The 19644-nt window shown below is 51.6% G+C and overlaps 1 long non-coding RNA gene across 5 annotated transcripts in view, besides 2 other annotated features; it reads left to right on the top strand.

Moving 5' to 3' along the window:
- Positions 1105-1635: an enhancer, noted in NCBI's record as "NANOG-H3K4me1 hESC enhancer chr2:2845889-2846419 (GRCh37/hg19 assembly coordinates)". NCBI's record gives its function as "activates a minimal SCP1, AML or CMV promoter by ChIP-STARR-seq in naive H9 embryonic stem cells {active_cell/tissue: H9 hESC(naive)}" and the evidence as "EXISTENCE:reporter gene assay evidence [ECO:0000049][PMID:30033119]".
- The window catches only part of LOC105373390 (uncharacterized), a 133531-nt gene continuing 116767 nt past the window's right edge, over positions 2881-19644 (top strand). The window contains exons 1-6 of one of the 5 annotated variants that reach the window (NR_187835.1): positions 2881-3969; positions 4727-4995; positions 5464-5603; positions 6746-6833; positions 9246-10499; positions 11530-12836. This is a non-coding gene — a long non-coding RNA (uncharacterized LOC105373390). Of the gene's footprint in view, positions 3970-4726; positions 4996-5463; positions 5604-6745; positions 6834-9245; positions 10500-11198; positions 12837-19644 lie in introns of those variants that run through there. The other 4 variants (NR_187837.1, NR_187836.1, NR_187839.1 and 1 more) reach the window with 4 other exon arrangements.
- Positions 5573-6206: an enhancer, noted in NCBI's record as "H3K27ac-H3K4me1 hESC enhancer chr2:2841318-2841951 (GRCh37/hg19 assembly coordinates)". NCBI's record gives its function as "activates a minimal SCP1, AML or CMV promoter by ChIP-STARR-seq in primed H9 embryonic stem cells {active_cell/tissue: H9 hESC(primed)}" and the evidence as "EXISTENCE:reporter gene assay evidence [ECO:0000049][PMID:30033119]".

Below are 19644 nucleotides of genomic sequence, written 5' to 3'. Positions count from 1 at the left end.
TCAGGCTTCTTGAAAAGCTCAGGGAGACATCTGCATGTCTGTCTCTTCCCACTCTTGGTGTAAAATGGCCCACTTCCCAAACCCTACCACGAGCCTTAGGGAGTGCGATGAAACATTGTGTTTTTATAAATACATAAAATAACTCTCTTATTCCGATCATGCTGCTATAACAAAATATCTTAGACCAAGTAATTTGTAAATAAGAAATTCATTTCTCACAATTCTGGAGGCTGGGAAGTTCAAGATCAAGGTGCTGGCAGCTTCGGTGTCCAGTGAGGCTCCTCTTTGCTTCCAAGATGACACCTTGTTGCAGTGTCTTCCCATGGCTTAAGGCACAATGGAGCAATGGCAGAATGGCTGCACATTATGCACTCACAGGGCAGAAGAGGCAAAAGGACTAGGAAGGTCTCTGAAGCATCTTTCTTAGGGCATTAGTCTCATTCTTGTCAGTGGAGCCCTCAGGGCCTAATCACCTCCCTAAGGACACACCTCTTAATACCATCAAATTGGGATTTAAATCTCAACATATAAGTTTTGGAGATATACGTACATTCAAACTATAGCATTCTGTCCCGAACCCTCCTAATTCATGTCTTCACATACAAAATACATTCGTTCCATCTCAACATCCTTAAAAGTTTTAATTAATTTCAGCAGCAATGCAAAAGTCTAAAGTCTCACCTGAATCAGATACTGGTGAGACTCAAAGGTGGTTTGCGTCTTGAGGCAAATTCATCATCTATGAGCTGGTGAAATGAAACGTTTTATGTGCTTTCAAAATACAGTTGTGGGGCACGTGTAGTACAGACATTTGTATTCCACAGGGCAAAAATAGGGAAGAAGAAAGGCCTTAAAGATCAGGAATCAACATCGGCTCAATGCTCTGCCCTCCGGGCTCAATGGGGCTTGGATCCCACCTTCCAGGCACCCTGGGGTGCAGGGCCCAATCCACAGTTTTGTCACACAGGAGTTGGGTGCTGAAGGCTCCGGGCAGCCCCACTCCCATGGCTTTGAGCAGCCTTACGCCCATGGCCTCACTGGGCGTTGCCCTAGTGGGGGCTCCCTGCAGCTGCCCTGTCCCAGACACCCCTCTGCCTGGGTCATGTTACTCTCTAGAACCCTCTAGAACAATCTAGGTGGAGGTAGTCATGCTCTCATAGCCTTTCTGCACAAACTACATTCCCCTCCAGCCCACCAGAGCCACACCTGGGACCGCCGAGCAGCTTGGTGTCTGAGTGCGGGGAGTAGAGCTCAGATGTGTGACAGGGCTAGGTGGCTGTGGCCTCTCCTTTGATGCCATGCCACTCTTCAGGCTCTGAAACTCCTTTGAGGTCATTCTTCCGTGGTCATGGACACTAGGTTCTGGCTAATCTCCCCATTGTCTTCATGAATGGCACCTGTCTTCTGCTGAGATGGCAGATTCATGCTAATTTCCATATCAAAGGTCTCTTGGCCACACCCTTGTTCTTTCCCAAACAGGCTTTCTTGTGTTTCCCAATATGGATAGGCTGAGAATTTTCCTAATTTTTAAGCTCTGCTTCCTTTTGGATTACCATCTCTGTCTTTAAATTGCTTCACTCTTCTCCCATCTCACTATGAGGAGTCAAGAGGAACCGGGTGCTCCTGCAGCCCTCTGCTCAGCCAAATATCCACTTCCATTGTTTGGGGGTTTCATCTTCCATAAAACACCTGACACAAACACAATCCAGCCAAGTTATTCACCATTTTATAACAAGGATGGCCTTTCCTGTGTCATCCTCATTTGTATTTCATTCTCAAACGTTCCTCATTTCCATTTGAGAGCTCACCAGAAAGGCCTTTATCATCCATATTTCTACCAACATTCTGTTCATGACCACTTAGATATTCCATAAGGCGGAGGCTCTCCCTGCAGCTCTCCTCTGTCATTTCTGAGCCTTTACTGGAATCACCTTTAAAACCCACTTCATGGTGATTTGGTTCCCCAGCCAAGGGGAAGGGAGGTTTCTTGGACTTCTTTTTTTGAGGTCATTAACCTTACTCATGAGGGCTCTGCTTCCATGACCTAATCAACTTCCCAAATCTTCCAGATACCATCACCTTGGGGTTAGGATTTTAACATAGAAATTTAGGAGGCAGGCACAAGCTTGTAGACTGTAGCAACCACTTTTGTAGGCAAGTTGGTCTTGGGTCGGCGTCCATCTCCTCCACAACATACCCGTGCCTCCAAGTACATTCCAGTTAAAGCATTTCTTAAAAATTCACTTTATTCATTTTCTCAGGAATGAATTTGATTTACAATTTTCAGTGCCCTGTAAGCCCTCAGTGCAGTTGGGCTGCTGGAGAGGTGTGGGCTGTCAGCTGCAGTACTGTGGCCTTGGCATGTCATAATACCAATTTTCAAATGGTTTTGCTGAAGCAGACTTGTCATACCTTATGTTAAGTACTGACCTCCATACATTGGAGTGGTATGTCCGGATCAAAGGGAATCCAGTTGGCATGATTTTATTCGGTTAGGTTGTGTTCACTAAATTGCTATTTGCAAGAATTGTCTGACATCCAGAAAGCCACTGAAGGGCTTCAGGCTTTTACATTTCACAGCGTGTCATGCTAAGAACAGACGCAATTGGGATTTCAGAATCGGCAATACTGGTTTTAAGGCTGAGACAGATAGCATTCCGTATACTGTTACGTATATGATACAGACTTTTCCTGACTTCTGCGGGGGACTTCCCTCTTCCATATGCCTTCTCTGTGGGCATCTGGTGAGTCTGACTCAGATTTCAGGTAGGCGCGGCTGCACCTGCCGACTCAACACAGACTGTGTAGGCAGGCCCCGGATGACACTGTCTGTGGGAGACCCCCAGGTCTATTTCTAAGCAGTGTGCTCCATCCCAGCTTCCCACACCCGGTGGCTCCATGGCAGTTCTGGAGCAGCCACTGTCTCTCAGGGAGCCGGGAATCCAGGATGCCCGCTCTGCAGGCTGAGTGCTGTCTGCCTGGTTCACTGACTCCATACCCAGGACCCACAGCCAGCCGTGGTCGGGTGATGCCCTCCACATTCCAATACCTGGAAGCAGCAATTCCTGTGAGCACTGTGCCTTTTATGGTAAGACTTTAGGGAAATAACAGCAGAATGAGCAGAGAATGATGGCACCCCCTTCCACATGCTTTTTACTGAATGTGGACTGGAACGTGGGGGGCCCTGCTGGCCTCCATTTTGCAGGCCTCTGGTGGGAGCCTCTGAGAAGAATTGGTCAACAACAACAACAAGAAAGTATGTTTTGAAGTTGGATTCTCTTGTGCTGTGCAGCCTCCTCCTCTGGACTTAAAAATGGCCATACTGGTATCAGCCATCGGTCTGCGAAGGGCTAAAGGTCCGGGGCACCTGCTGAGTGTGGCTGTACACCAAGTCCTCTCTCAACTCGCTCTTAGGACAAATGCTGGTGCTTCTCAGGCTGGATCTGACTGGCTTCTGGCTTTCACAGAACCGGAATAAGCCGGAATGAGCCGGAATGGCCTCTAGAGATGCTCTGAGGTCGGCAGGCCAGACCATTCCTCCTGGAGCCTCTGCTTCACCGAATTCTGATGGATCCCTGCCCACTCTGCTTGGCCTGTGCCCCTCCTGGCACCATCTGCCTGAGCCTGGGCTGGCGCTCTGTCAGCCTTTGCAACACAGCTATGAGACTTGGAAAGCTGGAGTTTGGTTTAGCAGAGAAATGCATTTGAAATCTTCCCTCTAGGCCCCCCTCTTTCTGTTCCCCCTCCTCACCTCCCTCCAGGACCAATTTATCTGCCAGTCCAGCCTCCAAGAGGAGCTGGGGCCAAGTTGGAGACCTGCTTATGCTTGTCAGCCTCTGTGGCCAGATGACAAGAGAGCAGCCCACAGCTGGGAGAGGACTGGGAAGTCCCCGTGTGCAGAGCGTGCTTAACAGGGGGGCGGGCAGGTCAGAAGCTTCCCCCTGGCTGCAAAGGAGGTGTGGAGGACAGGTATGCCCTGTCCCTGAGGGAGACACTAAGCCTTGGCATGTGTTTATGTGAGCATGCATGTCTGGGTGCATGGATGTGCATTTGTGTGTGCATGTGTGTGCACATGTGCCTGCGTGTACACATTCTGGTGTGGTAGAGAAAGAGCTCAAGGTGGCATCAGGTACTCTCGGGCTGTCTGGAGTCTGCACAGGTGTCTCTGCCTCGGCCTTGGCATGTACAGTCGGTTTGAAGCTCTGCTGCTCGCCACGGCCCAGGGGAGCTATGCCTGTCACATTGGAGTGTGCACAGCTGTAGCAGTAGCCTGGCCAGTGCCTGGCAGGAGAGGCGACCCTTGCTCTGGAGTCCTCAGCTGCTGGCAAGAGGCAGTGAGTGTATCCATCCTTCCATCTATCCATCCATCCATCCATCCATCCATCCATCCATCCACCCTCATGATTCTCTAGCCTGACCTTCTGTGGGTCAGATCTCCAGACTGTGGGGATGCGGGAGAAGATGAATAGAAAAGGTGTGTTTTTCGCACTCAGAGGATGAAAGAGTGCCCAGGCCGGAAAGGAGTGCAAAAGTCACCCAGTCCCCACACCACTGGGTGTTGCATCCTAGGACGGTTTCTGTAGTATTAGGTATCACTGTCCACACGCCTCGTGGGGCAGTTGGTCCTTGTGGCCTCCCCATGATCACTGTCATCCAGTTCGGCCCTGTCTTCCCCGACCTCTTCTCTCTCTCTCTCTTTCTTTCTTTCCCTCTCTCTCTCTCTCAGCTCCCTGGAGTTCCATTCTTGGCCTCTTTGCACCTGCGCACAGTCCCTGGTGGTGCTGCACCCTCACAAGGGCTCCACGCCTATTTCTAGCTCCTGCCTTCTCTGCAGAGTTCCAGGCCTGTGTTTGGCTCTATCTACTTGGAAGACTCACAGGTTCTTCAAAACCAACCAACGTGAAGCCAGTTTGTCCTGACTTTTACCCCAAACCTGATGACTGCTTCATCCCCTGTCTTGAGAAGTCTCCACTGCCCACCCATTGTCTAAACCAGGTACCCAGAAGTCCTTCTTGATGACTGCCCATCACCTGCCCGGGGTCCTATCCAGCAGTGCATCCTAGTGCCCCTCCCACTGTACCCCGGCTGTAGTTCAGGATTTGCTCAGCTCTGGTCTTGCTGCTCCGAAGCCCCCACTGGCCACTCAGCCCTGCCATAAGGCCCATCATGCAGCTCCCCTTCCCTCTAACCTGCTTCAAGTCCATTCCCCAAACTGCCACAAGGCCCCTTCTCCTTGAGCCAATAGAACTCATTCTCTCCCCGGGTGAACACACACCAGGGCTCTGCATGCCTTCTTACAACAAACTGCGTGGTGGGCGCACCAGCCTTCCCCATCTGACTCTGTGTGCTGCCCACCTGGTGGTTGTGCTGGAGGTTTTGAAGAGTGAGACTTTGGCCCCAGGTCTCCTGCCTGAGAGCTGCGTAAACCTAGAGCCTTGTCTCACAGAGCCCCTGTTCCCACAGCATTAAAGTGGAGATGACAGAGTCCCTCCTGGAGAGCCGGTCTAGCCATTCAGTGAGTCAGCAGCACAGCTCCTCCAGCACGCAGAGAACAGCGGTCCATGGAGGGAGGGCGTGAGCCTGGGGTTTTACTGAGGAAGGATGTAAGTCTGGGTTTAACTAAGAGAGGGCGTGAGCCTGGGCTTCGCTGAGGGAGGGCATGAGCCTGGGGTTCCCTGAGGGAGGGTATGAGCCTGGGGTTCCCTGAGGGAGGGCCTGAGCCTGGGCTTCACTGAGGGAGGGCGTGAGCCTGGGGTTATACTGAGGAAGGATGTGAGTCTGGGGTTAACTAAGAGAGGGCGTGAGCCTGGGCTTCGCTAAGGGAGGGCGTGAGCCTGGGGTTCCCTGAGGGAGGGCCTGAGCCTGGGCTTCACTGAGGGAGGGCGTGAACCTGGGGTTATACTGAGTGAGGGTGTGAGTCTGGGGTTCACTGAGTGAGGGTGTGAGTCTGGGGTCTTAGTGAGGGTGTGATCCTAGGGGTTCACTGAAGGAGGGTGTGAACCTGGGGTTATACTAAGGAAGGGTGTGAGTCTGGGTTTCACTGAGGGAGGGCGTGAGTCTGGGGTTCACTGAGGGAGGGTGTGATCCTGTGGTTCACTGAGTGAGTGTGTGAGTCTGGGATTCACTGATGGAGGGTGTGAGTCTGGGGTTCACTGAGGGAGGGCATGAGTCTGGGGTTCACTGAGGGAGGGTGTGAGTCGGGTTCACTGAGGGAGGGTGTGAGCCTGGGGTTCACTGAGGGAGGGTGTGAGTCTGGGATTCACTGATGAAGGATGTGACCCTGGGGTCCACTGAGTGAGGGTGTGAGTCTGGGGTTATACTGAGTGAGGGTGTGATCCTGGGGTTCACTGAGGGAGGGTGTGAGTCTGGGGTTCACTGAGGGAGGGTGTGAGCCTGGGGTTCACTAAGGGAGGGTGTGAGCCTGGGGTCCACGGAGGGAGGGTATGATCCTGGGGTTCACTGAGTGGGGGTGTGAGCCTGGGGTTCACTGAGGGAGGGTGTGAGTCTGGGGTTCACTGAGGGAGGGTGTGAATCTTGGGTTTTACTGAGAGTGTGTGAAGCTGGGGGTTCACTGAGGGAGGGCATGAACCTGGGATTATACTGAGGGAGGGTGTGAGTCTTGGGTTATACTGAAGGAGGGTGTGAACCTGGGGTTTTACTGAGGGAGAGTGTGAGTCTGGGTTTTGAACCTGGAGGTCCTCTGAGGAGGAGATGAACCTTGCTTTCCTTTTCTTTCTGCCCTCAGAGTGGGTTTTTCAGTCCCTGAAGCTGCTGCTCTGCCCACTCAGGAAGGTGAGGAAGGCAGACGACAGCGTACATCCAGCCTCTGCTCTGTGAGTGTCTGTATGTGTGTCTTGTGTGTCCGCGTGTTTGTGGGTGTGCATCGGGGCAGTGAAGGGTAGCACTGAGCAGCTGCTGGCAACTGGGCCTCACCTGCAGCCCTGCTTTTTTATTTGTGTGGCCCATTGGATCCCAGCTGCCTTCTGTTTTATCCCTGGCTTTATGGGGGCCATCTTCCCAGCTGCCTCCCATTCCATCCTTGGCTCTAAGGGGACATCTTCCCAGCTGCCTCCTATTCCATCCTTGGCTCTAAGGGGCCATCTTCCCAGCTGCCTCCCATTCCATCCTTTGCTCTAAGGGGCCATCTTCCCAGCTGCCTCCTGTTCCATCCTTGGCTCTGTGGGGCCAATCTTCCCAGCTGCTTCCAGTTCCAACCTTTGCTCTATGGAGCCATCTTCCCAGCTGCCTCCTGTTTTGTCCTTGGGTCTATGGGGCTGTCTTCCCAGCTGCCTCCCATTCTATCCTTGGCTCTATGGGGCCATCTTCCCAGCTGTCTCCAGTTCCATCCTTTGCTCTATGGGGCCAGATTTCCAGCTGCCTCCTGTTTTGTCCTTGGCTCTATGGGGCCATCTTCCCAGCTGCCTTGAGTTCTAACCCTGCCTCTATGGTGGCCATCTTCCTCTGTATCCCATTCCACCCTTGGCTCTATGGGGCCATCTTCCCAGCTGCTTCCAGTTCCATCCTTTGCTCTATGGAGCCATCTTCCCAGCTGCCTCCTGTTCCATCCTTGGCTCTATGGGGCCATCTTCCCAGCTGCCTCCTGTTCCATCCTTGGCTCTATGGGGTCATCCTCCCAGACACCTCCAGTTTCACCGTTGGCTCTATGGGGCCATCTTTCCAGCTTCCCCCCGTTCCACCCTTGCCATTGTGTCCTTATTGGGTCATTTGTCAACAGCATCTGCTTAGCATCAAGCAGTGGTCCTGGATCCTCTCAGGTGTGGCCCTTGTAGTGATGGACATGATCAGTGCATGTAGGGAGTGGCCAGTGATCACATGGTCACATGGAGGTGCTACCCTCACTGTTCTAGGAAGGATACACTTGGGTTCTGTGGGCCATGGAGGTCGTGCCAGGCTCTGAGCCAGGGTCATGGAACTGAGAGCCACAGGACAGATTTGAGTCAATTGGTTTATCAGGAGCAGTAACAGTGACTCACAGAGGGGCTGCCTCCAAGGGCCTTGTACAAACAGCACCCCATTTCCAGGACCCACAGAGGCCCATGTGGCTGCAAGGGTGAAATGGGGTGGGACGGACCCTGCATGTGCCCTACCCACCCCTGCCAGACCACACATTTTTTTTTTTTTTGTATTTAAGAGGAAGAGGAGGAAGACCGAAGGGGGAGAGAGAAAAACAGAGGCAGAGAGGAGGAAAGAGCAGTGAAGGCTGTGACCAGATTCTCCTGAGGGACATGAACCACCTGACTGGGTTCTCTAATGTGGGCACCTGCCGCTGGCTTGTGTGTTTGGACTTCTGCTTCCGGTGGCATCTTCTCTGGCTGGCTGGTATCTTCCGAATGCTGACTTCTGTGGACTGAGAGGTCTTGCACCCCAGTTTCCCCTTCCCAAGGAAGTGACAAGGGAGAACTGGGCTTTGCCTCTGTCTCTGAGGGCTCCGAACACCCAGGCCACCCTTAGCCACCCCTGTCTGAGCCACTGCTGCCAGGAAGAACCCCAAGCCAATTCTTGCTGCCATTCTGTCTCCCTCCCCAGGAGTGCTGGCCACAATGTCTCTACCTGTTTGGTAGCCCAGTCTCCTTTATCAATGTCCATCTACACTAGCTGGTTTGAGGGCTTCTTCTGGATGTTCTGCCTGGGGGCGCAGCAGGCAGAAGGGAGGGCAGCTGGTGTCCAGAGCCCCCCTAGGCAGGCCAGCCTGCTGTGCCAGCACGGGTCCCCTCCAGGGCCTGTGCCCTTCTGGGCAGCCTCATTGCTCAATGGCCACCCACCTCCCCAAGGCCAAGAAAGCAACTGCCCTTCCACGGCCTGGGGTTCACTGAGTGAGGGTGTGAGCCTGGCACCCCCATCCAGTCTTCTTTTCAGTATGTCCAAAAAATTAAGTCATCTCATCATTGATATGCAATGTACGTTGGTGGGGGCATCTTTTAAAACGGAAATGAGAGTAATATGATAAGGAAAGACAGACACAGGCCCAGCCCCTGCTCCCATTAGCAACTCCCATGAACGCAGCACAGCTGCAGGAGCTGGTCCGGCTGCTGCATCCTCTCCCCGCTGCAGCTGAGGGCGTTCTGAGTGAGAAATTAATTCCTCATCGGAATTGTGTCTGAATTTAGCAGATAATAATTGTAGAGCTTTAAACTGACATTTTAAGAATGACCACTGTAATTCTGGCAAGCAACAGTGGATTCCATAAATGATGGAGATTCTAAGAACAGGATTGATTTCCACAGGCCAGGGTCGTTGATGCCCTTTGGAATGGAGAGCTGTGAAGGGGAATGCCTAGGCCTCACAGAGGAGGCTCGTGACCCGGACAGGTGTGGGACTAGGGGCCATGTCTGTAGCTCCCCTGCCACGGAGCAGAATCTGCCTCTCCATAAGCGTTAAGCTCTGGGGACTGTGACATCCACGCTGGGCCTGGCTCCTGCCTTCCGCCTCCTGCCCAGCCCCTGCCAGCAGCACATGGTGGAGACCGGTTGCCCAAAGCTCTTGTTCTCAGATGTGGGCAGAACGGGAATCTGCCATGTGCCCGTGGATTAAAAAAAAGAAACCCAGGCTGCTTTTCTGTCTGTTAGAAGGAGCCTGCACTTCAAGATAGTGGGGATGTATATTTTAAAAAATTTCACGCTCATGGGCCAAAGATTTTCCCGGGGCTGTGTGCTGATTTGCAGCCTATCATGTGTGGCTTTGGGACACTGGGGAAGGTGTGGAGCAGTTTAAGTGACAAACGGGTTGGAAAAGCAAAGGACACCAGGTGAGGATGATGGAATTTACATCCTGTTGCTTCCCTGATAGTTCCTGCCAATATGGGATCCCACTACTATCTTTCTGCCCTAAAAATATGTGTATATTGAGATAGAAACTGTTGTAATGGCTGCATGCATTCAGTAGAGGAAAGGAGAGAAGAAAGAAGGAACAGATTTAGTCCTGCCCAGAATCTGCACTTCCACGGAGGACGCCAGGATATCACGGGAGAGACTGCAGCTCTGATCAAATGGGGCGAGCTCTTGGCAGGAGCCAGCATGTTCCTGTGTTCCATTTGGGAGGACAGTTTACTTTAATGATGTACTTTGAAATCAGGTGGACGTCTGTAACTCCTGGACCTTTCGCAGCCTTTCCAGCCACGGTCATCTCTGTGGAGTCAGGGGCAGGGACTTTGGGATCAGCTTCTGCCCTTGTGAAAACAGCAGAGCAGCCTGAGAGCCAGGAAGGACCTCACCTGAGTATCAGATCACCTCATCAGGCTGAATTGTGTGGATCTAGGGATTTTAAAGAGGTGATTAAGGTAAAATGAGGTTATTAGGGTGGCCCTTGACCCAGTGTGACTGGTATCCTCATAAGAGGAGATTAGGACACAGCCACACAGAGGGACGACCACCTGAGGATCCCTGAGAAGATGGCATCTGGAAGGTGAGGAGAGAGGCCTCAGAAGGAATCAACTCTGCTGATACTTGATGCCAACTTCCAGCCTCTGAAACTGCGAGCAAGTAAGTTCTGATTCTTTAAGCCCCCTAGTCTGTGGTCATTGGGTATGGCAAACGGAGATGGTGAATACGGCCATTTCTATAGTTTGAATGTGTCCCCAAAAGTTCATTTGTGTTGGAAATTTGGTCCCCAATATGAGCAGTGTTGGGAGGCGGGATCTTTGGGAGGTGATGATGTCATGAGGATTCTGCTCTCATGAATGGATTAACCCATCCATTGATTACCGGATTACTGGATTGATGGGTTAGAGAGGGGTGGGGTTACTTATCACGAGAATGGGTTGTTAGTAAAAGCCAGGTCGCCTCTCTCTCATGAGCCCCCTGACCATATGAAGCCCTGTGCCCCCTCGGGACTCTGTAGAAAGTCCCCACCTGCAGGAAGGGCCTCACCAGATGTGGCCCCTGGACGTTGGATTTCCAGCTTCCAGCACTGTAAGAAATAACTTCCTTTTCTTTACAAACTACCTGGTGTCAGATATTCCATTATACAGCAGAAAACAGACTAAGACAGGCATCGGGAACCTCGAGTTCCTGACAATGGCAGTTTAAAACTGTTGGCCGTGGGTTCTTCCAGGGGTGGGGATCTGTGGCCGCTTGACTTGCATCCAGTGGGCCAATGGCCACTTCAACCAACAGAGGATGGGTAGGTGATACCAGGTGACTTTCTGAGCTGGGTCGTAAAGGGCTGTGTCCTGTGCTCAGGCTCTGGGTATGGTCACATTCCACTTGAGGAACCTTCTCGCCTTGGACTCAGCTGCTGTGTTGGGAGAAGGCTGGGAACAGAGAAAGGCAACATGAACAGACATGGTCAACAGGCTCATGGAACCTCACTCTTGAGTCATCTTGGCTCAGCCACTAGATAGGAGTCAAGAAACACCAGAAAATTCCAGGTTCTGGCCATCTGAGTTCTTTTGAGAGTTTTGGACATTGAGGAATAGAGGCTGACAACCACTGTTGTACCCAGTCCAAATCCTTGACCTATGGGATCCACAAGCTTAATACATTGGTGGTTGTTTCTCTCTGCTTTTTTCAGGGTGGTTTGTTATTCAGCAATGGATAATTAGAGCACTGACTCACCTTGATGGGCCTCATCATCATTCATCCAGAAATCTTTTATTGAGAAAAATAATATTTGCCATGTTGTGCAAGGAGTTGGGGTTGCAAAGCTGGGTGCTGTGATCTATAACACAAGGCAGCAGGATTGTCTGACCTCCGAGAGCCATGTGCCCTGGGATCATCTGGCCACAGTTATCTCACAGAATTCCTAATGCACAGTCTGTGTGGGAGGTGATGCCGGAGTCCCCCCTCCCTCTGGGCTCCTCCCCGTGCTCTGCTCACATCACTGGGGGGTTGGCGGCAGCCTGCTGAGTCCTTTCGACCCTCAGCCCGCTCTCCAGCACTCAGACTGGCCGAAACCTGTGCCGCTGGCTCCACCCTCAGGTCTCCCCACTCCTCTCATTAGCCACCGGCCTTCTCAGCCTTCTCTTATTCTTGTGACTCTTGCCTGACCCTGCCTCAGCTCTGTGTCCTCCCAGACTGCTGACTGTGAGGCTTTGCCCAGCGGATTTTCCATCGCCAAATTAGAGCTTTTCTTTCCTCGCCTGACTGCTCCCTGTCACTGTCTTCTGTATCTTCCTGTTCCTGATTTTGGCTGGCTATCAAGAGAAGAAGATCTACAATCATCCTATCTCTCATGGCACCTTACCATGTGCAACTCCCTCGTATCTAATACCTCACTTCACCTTTTCTGTTCTTCTATTTATGAGCTACGTGATGTCAGACAAGGCACTTAACTACTCTGGGCTTTGGCTCCCTTATTTAACGATAGGTATCATAATAATACCTGTCCTGTCCAATTTACAGTTTGTCTGACAGTTATTCATTTAACAAACATGCATTGGGTTCCTACTGAGTGCTGGGTGATGTATCCAGCATTGCTAAGACAACGGCCGTGAGAACAGCAAGCATGCCTGGGTTTTGCATTCTAGTGGGACGTCTTAATCTATTTTCTGCTAAAACATAATACCACAAACTAGGCAGTTGATGAAGAAGATACATTTACTTCTTGCAGTTGAAGAGGCTGGGAAGTCCAAGGGCATGGCACTGGCATCTGGGTCATCCCATGGTGGAAGGTGGAAGGTGGAAGGGCAGGGACTAAGAAGAGCACCAGGTGCCAGACTCACTTTGTAACAACCCACTGTCATAATAACTAACCTGACCTCACAACCCAGTCACCTCCCAACAAAGTTGCATTGGGATTGAATTTATAACACAAGAACTTTTGGGGGGCAAATTCAAGCCAGGCATGGGGGTTAGTGTAAATAAATGAATAGTGCATACTAACTGATTGAGGCCATTGTTAACAAAAATGAAAAAACAAGGGTGGGTTTGGGGAGTGGTGGCGGGGTGAACAGGCCTCTGGAGTGGCACATACGGGGAAAACCTCTGTGCAGGCAGAGACCTGGGCTGCTGAGAAGGGGCCGGACTTGGAGATCTGGGAAAAAGCATCTCAGTTGAGGGAGAAATGGAGCAAGCCTGGAGCCCTGAAGAGCCTGAGGACTTTGAGACCAGGGAGCAGGTACTGGTCATGGGGCATGGGAGACTGGCTCAGGCAGGACCAGGCAGGGTCTCTGTCCCTGGTAAAGAATGTGGGTATTATTTTGAGTGACAGGAGTGGCATACTCAGATCTGCTTTGGGATGATCCTTCCTGCTGCTGTGTGAATGCTGCAGCCAGAAATGGTGCTGGGGGTGTTATTAGGATGCTGCCATGACCCATTCAGAGATGATCGTGGCTGGACCACAGTGGGGAGAAGAGGGGGATCATCATAACCTGTTCCTGGAAGCCCTGCTGGGCGTGAGGGGAGTGGAGGAATTAAGAATGGCTCCCACCACTTGATAAATGGAGAAACCCAAAGCAGTCGTGTGGTTTTTGAGGTGTGGGGGAAGTGAAGGACTCCTCTTTGTATAACGTGTGAGCTTCCTGACATGTCTTCATGGGAATAGAAGGTTGGCCTTGGGATGTTTGCATCTGGAGCTCAGAAGAACAATACTAACCTGGAGAAACATGGGTGCCATTTGCTTAGGGTGTTGTTAGAATGCATAGAGGATGAGCATAATTTGGGGAGTGGTGACAAGCACCCATGGATGCCCCACACTACTTCTCAGAGCCCTCATCCTGGGCTCCATGTCCTATGGATGCCATAACAGATGTCCACAGACTTGATGGCTTAAAATAGTCAAAATTTGTTCTTTACAGTAATGGAGGCTGAAAGTCCAAAATCAGTTTCAGGGGGCAAAATCCAAAGAACCTGCTGAGCTGTGCTCTCCCGGAAGGCTCTAGGAAAGAGACCTTCCTGCCTCTTCTAGCTTCTGGGGGCTCCTGGTGTCCTTGGTGCCACATGACCTAATCTCTCCTCTGTGGCCACATGGCCTTCCCTGGGTGTCGAGTCTCTCTCTGCCCTCTTTTCTAAGGATACTCCTGATGAGATTTAGGGCCCACTCAGATAATCCACAATAATCTTTCCTTGTCTCTTCTGCAGAGACCTTTTTCACAGTTTCCAGGGGGTAGGGTGTGCTAATTGGGGACCATAGTCCAGCCCACTACGTACTAAAGGTTTGGAGAGGCAGTACTTCAACATTGAAAGCTGGAACTTGGGGTAAGAGTGCAATCTTGGAATTGCATTTCTAAACAAATGGAGTTGGGCTAGGAATATTCCTAGCTGTCTGACCACAGGCCTGTTTCTTGGTTATCAGACCTTAATTTGTTTATCCACAAAGTGGGGATAATGCCACGCTCATTCTCAGGACTGTTGCTTGGGTTTGATGAGATCACATGTGCAAAGTATTTGGGACCGTGCCTGGCATATATGAAGACCAGATAGAGGTCAGTTCCCTTTCTTCTCCTTGGCTGGTACCTAAGGGATTGGAGAGGTCCCCTTGTGTCACTCTCCAGAGCTGACCCAGCTTGTCTAGCGGTGTCTCATGTCAACCATAGCCTGGGATCTTCTGCAGGGAGGCTTACATAGAAAAACGGAACATGTGATGATTGCAAGCCCACCCAGGGTATCCAGGAGACCTCCGAGTGAGGAGGGAGGGCCAGGCATGTGCTGAGAAGTTGTAGGAAGCCCTGCCTGCTGCTCTCTCTGCTAATGAGCCGCAGAGCCTGCAGCACTGACAGGTTCATCCCAGGGACTCTGGAGTTCTCTGCAGGGACTGAGCCGTGAATCCGCCTGCGTGCTGAGCTTGTCTTTCCGCTCTCATCTTTCCATGGCAACCGGGGAAAGGGGGCCAGGATGTGGCAATCTCCACAGGAGAAGCGTGGGCGCGGCTGTCTGTAGGCAGCAGTGCTGGAAGGAGAGGAGGAACAGCAGCCCTGATTCCAGGCCAGCGCTTGATACAAGCCCATCATGGTCACATGGGAGCTCCTGAAATACCCTGCATCCTGTCTCCCTCTGGTCTGCCTGATGTTGCAGAAGAGGAAACAAACAGAGGGGCAAAGTGACTTGGTGAATGGTGCACAGCTGGTTAATAGGAGATGGGAGGTGGCATTGAAATCTGGGGCTTCTGACTGGCGGGTGACTCGCCGTCAGGGAGCACTTTTATGTGCTTTAAGGGGGTCCTCCTGCACCACTGGTTTGAATTCAGGTCAGATTTACTGAGGGGCCTTGTTGAAACTACAGGGCAGGCCCCATCATCGATCTCACCCTGAGAAAAGAGTAAGGGCTCCATACAATGTTAGGAAACCCAGGACTTCTAAGGACTTCTGCCCCGCCTAATTCATTTAGGGGTCCATCAGTAAATGTTCCACTGAGAACTTATTAGAATGTGCAGATGGTCTGTTCAAAGAGCATTACATGTACTCCTCATGGAGCAATCTTTGTTACAAGAAGGGATTGGAATGAGAGGGGAAAGAATAATCGAAATGGGGATTGGAGGGCCCCAGAGTGGTGACTCTGAGGTCCGGGCTCCATCCTGCTGGCCGGTCCCCCCTCGCTATGGTCACTCAAGGCTCATAAATCACCACTGGGAGCTCAGCGTCCCTCATGGTGACTCTCCTGTGACTGAATGGCCTTCATGTGCTCAAAGGCTACTTTTGTTGACTCCCAAATTGGGTTGTTGCACTTTCCACCTCCATTCCTAGTTCTACTCATCTGGGCTCCGCAGGAAAATGCTTCTTCTCTGACCCGACAGCAACCATGGATACGTGGAGACACCTCACACTTCACCCTGTGAGCCAGTCTCACCCACCTCATTCTCAGAATGGGGCAGACCCGGTTCCGCTCTCCCCTTGGGGCTGGGTGCCGGGGACCTGTGGGAAGGTCTGGGTGCTTGGGCCTGTTCTGCTCACCTCTCAGGCACAAGAGAGCCCAGAAGTGTTACTGGTGGCTGGACCAAGAGCTCAGGTGAATGTTACCCATGCCGGAGGTGGCCTCCAGGGATAAAATGTAGGCCTTATTGAGGAAAAAGACAACCCCAGATGTGGGATGTTATGACAAGAGGAGATTCCTGATCTGCAGACACAGAGTATGGAGTCTCCTCATGGGGACCAACCTCGGGACATCTTTGCCTCTCTCTCAGCCAACTCAGGATTCATCCTGCGATGTTTTTGAGAAGGGACTAGTTAGTTGTGAGGCAGCATCTTCACGGCTGGCCATCTTTATTTTTAGAAGGTTATATTTAATATGCAGCTGAAATCTGCTTGAAATCTGAGCATTCCAGGGGAGCCTCTCCAGGCCCGGGAGCTGCCCCAGGACCAGAGGCATCAGACCAGACCCATCTGCGTGTCTGCAGGGTCCCATCGAGGCTCAGCGTATGGGAGCTGCAGTGTATGGGAGCAGGGACAGAGGACAACGCGGCGCGTGTGCTGGGCGTCTCCTGGTATGTGGCCTGGGAGGCACGCTGCGCTTCCTATTTTACAGAAGATGTCATCTGCATTATCAGGCTGCCTCTGTGCCATGCAATAACCTGAGTCTGTAATAATCTGAAGCCTGGGGTCTGGGTAGGGAATTTTTTTTTTCTTTTACAACTCCATTTGCTTTTTAATTAGTGGAGATTCCTCCAAGGTTTTCGCATTAATTGCTCATCAATCTCAGTTTTCGGTGCTGTGGATGTCTGTCTCTGTGAATGTGAGAGTAGGGAGAGGGTTCAGAGCTGTATATGCCCCCGCACAGGCCACCGTGGGCCAGGTACTATTTTACATCTTCCCATTGATCACCAGGTCCCCATGACGTAGTTTTGTCCCCTGATTTTGCGTGTTAGGGACAGAAACTCATTGATTTCAAAGTCTGAATCTTCCCCACTACCTGGCATGCTAAGTCTCAGAACCATTCAGAAAAGAGTTGAACAACCACGAGTGGCACAAGATTGGTCTCCCTGGAGGTGGGGTCTGGGCCAGGGCCATGGCGTGCCTGATGGTGCTTGGACTCAATGGCGCCCCAGCCCCACCCCTCGGGTGCCACTGCATGTGCTTCTTGCAGGTGAATCCCAGGCTCTTCTCCTTGTGTCTCCCCAGCTGCTCAGAGGCCAGAGGCGGAGCAGCAGGGCAAGCAGGCGGGCTGAACCGCTTCCTGCTTTCAGTCATTTTTAAGCCAATATTTATTTTAAGCAAAGAAACACAGACACATAGTTTAGAAAGTAAGCTGTATGTGTTGGGGGAAACAGTACTTCTCCACTCCTGGCACTACCTGTGGGGGTATCTGGGGCCTTTCCCGGGCTTGGGCCATGCTGGTCTGCTCCTCTCCGAAGGGACGATAGATTATCTTAATGATGAGTTGAGATGAGGCTGGAGTCGACGTGCCTCCACCCTGCCCTCCTTTTCCCCCCTGGGAGCCAGTCTCCTACAGGAAGCACGCATTCTGGTTGGTATCCCCGTGCCGTAAGTCCTGCAGGGGCCGGTGAGGGGAGGCCTGGGGGCTGGCTCGTGTTTGGGTCTGGGGCTCAGCCTCAGAGGCCCATCGCTGCTGCTTCCCCATCCTCTCCCCCAGCCTGCTGCGTGTCTGCCTGGCTCCCCGTTGGTTCTGGAGCTCCTGCGGAAGGAGAGGTGCTGATTTTCAGGATTCCTAAAGCAGCCTCCGCCCGTGCCAGGGGATTCCCATGCCCTGTGCCACGTGTCCCAGCCTCTGGTGCCATGCCTCACAATCAACCACTTGCAACTCTTTTAGGCTTTTTTCTTTGTATTTATCTTTATGTTCCTAATAATATGCTGTTGTAATTAGCCCTTATCAATGAGCTATGATCTCCGGACTCACCACATGGCAGCTCAGGCTTCGCTCTTCACAGTCCTCCTTGCTCTCTTCGCCCTAGCGATGCAGCGATACGCGGTTAAGTGAAGACATTGTCAAGTGCCTGTGGCTGCCCCTGCCTCCTGGTGACATCTGTTCCCTTGTGAGCAGCGGAGCTCTCGGGGCGCGTTCCCTTCCTGCACGGCGCCCTACTAGGCTGTGCTGTGGATGGATTGACTTTACTGGAGGTGGGTCTGCTGGTGAGTTGGTGGTCTTGGGGGACACTTGAGAACATCTGATTTGTCCAAGATGGACCCCTCCTGCCCTTGGCTGATGGAGTGGAGCCTCCACTTCTGGTTAGCTTTGGGAGGAGCCCGCGGGGGTTGCAGGACAGAAGGCTATTCAGTGTGCAGTTTGACCCGTTCCTGTCTTTTCCCGCCCGAGCCTCACACTAGCCATCCACTCTGTGTTTCAGAGGCCAGAACTCCTCCATCCCAGTTTCTTCAGAGTCTGCTGAAGGCTGCCTCTAAGCATGTGGTGTTGGCCAAGGGAGGTGTGAGGGGAGAAGCAGTTTTCAGGTTGAGCTGGAAGGACTTGAGGGGTCAAGTTTCCTGTTCTATCCTCACTATTTCTACTTCCTTATGTTCTTTTCTCAGTCCAACTCCTTAGGGCTTCTGGCCCCCGCTCTCCACCGAGGCTGATACTGTCACAGCCCTGCGTGCCTCTGTGCTGTCAGCCTCAGTGCCCATCTCTTGGCTCTGACCTGACAGTTCTACACCATCCCCTATTCATAAAACACACACACTCACATGCATGGACACATGCACACGCACACACGTGCGCACACACATGCACACATGTACATACATGCGCACACACGCAGACACACATGCACACAGATGCAGACGCAGACATACACACATGCAGATGCAGATACAGACATGCACTCACATGCATACACACATGCATGCACACAAGGCACACACATACACACACAGACACACAGACACACACACACTTTTAGTTGAACACTGTTATGGGCTGAATTGTATTTCCCCCAACTTCATATGTTGAAGTCATAATCCCAGTGTGACTGTATTTGAAGGAAGGTCTTTTAAGGAGGTGACTAAGGTTAAGTGAGGCCATAAGGGTGGGCCCTGATCCCATAGGACTCTTGTCCTCACAAGAAGAGGAGGAGATGCCAGAAGCGTGTGTTCAGGGAGGAAAGGCCACGTGAGGACACAGAAGAACCATCTGCAAGTCAGGAAAAGAGGCCTCGTCGCCAACCAGCTGACACCTTGATCTCAGACTTCCAGCCTGCAGAACTGTGAGAAAATTAATTTCTGCTGTGTAAGTTACCCAGTCTATGGTGTTTTGTTACAAGCAGACTGGAAGACGAGTACAGATTTTGGTACTGCAAGTGGAGTGCTACTCTAGCAAACACCTAAAAATGTACAGGTGGCCTTGGAACTGCATATAGGCTGGAAGAGTTTCACTTGCAGCTGGAAGAAACCTAGATTGCCCTAAGGGACTGTTGGTAGAAGTATGGATGTTAAAGGTAATTCCAGGGAAGCCTTTGAAAGGAGTCAGTAGAGCTGTAGAGAAATGTTCTGTTGTCTTAGAGGATATAGAAATATAAACAGGATGTTGACACAAACATGAATGTGAAAGGAGCTTCTGGTAAGGTCTCAGAAGGAAATACAGAACAGGTTATTGGACAAAGGCTATCCTTATTATAAAGTGCCAGAGAACTTGGCTGGATTGTGCTCTAGTGTCTCGTGGAAGGAAGAAATTGGGAGTTACAACCTTGGATATTTAGCAGAGGAGATTTCCAATCAAAACGTTGAAGGTATGGCCTGAGTTTTTACTGCTTATTGTTAAATGTGAGAGGAGAGAGATACATTGAAGGAATTGTTGAGCAAAAAAG

The sequence above is a fragment of the Homo sapiens genome, chromosome 2 (genome assembly GCF_000001405.40).
Source record: "Homo sapiens chromosome 2, GRCh38.p14 Primary Assembly".
In the NCBI taxonomy this organism is placed as follows: Eukaryota; Metazoa; Chordata; class Mammalia; order Primates; family Hominidae; genus Homo; species Homo sapiens.
This window is presented reverse-complemented; position numbering and strand designations above follow the sequence as displayed.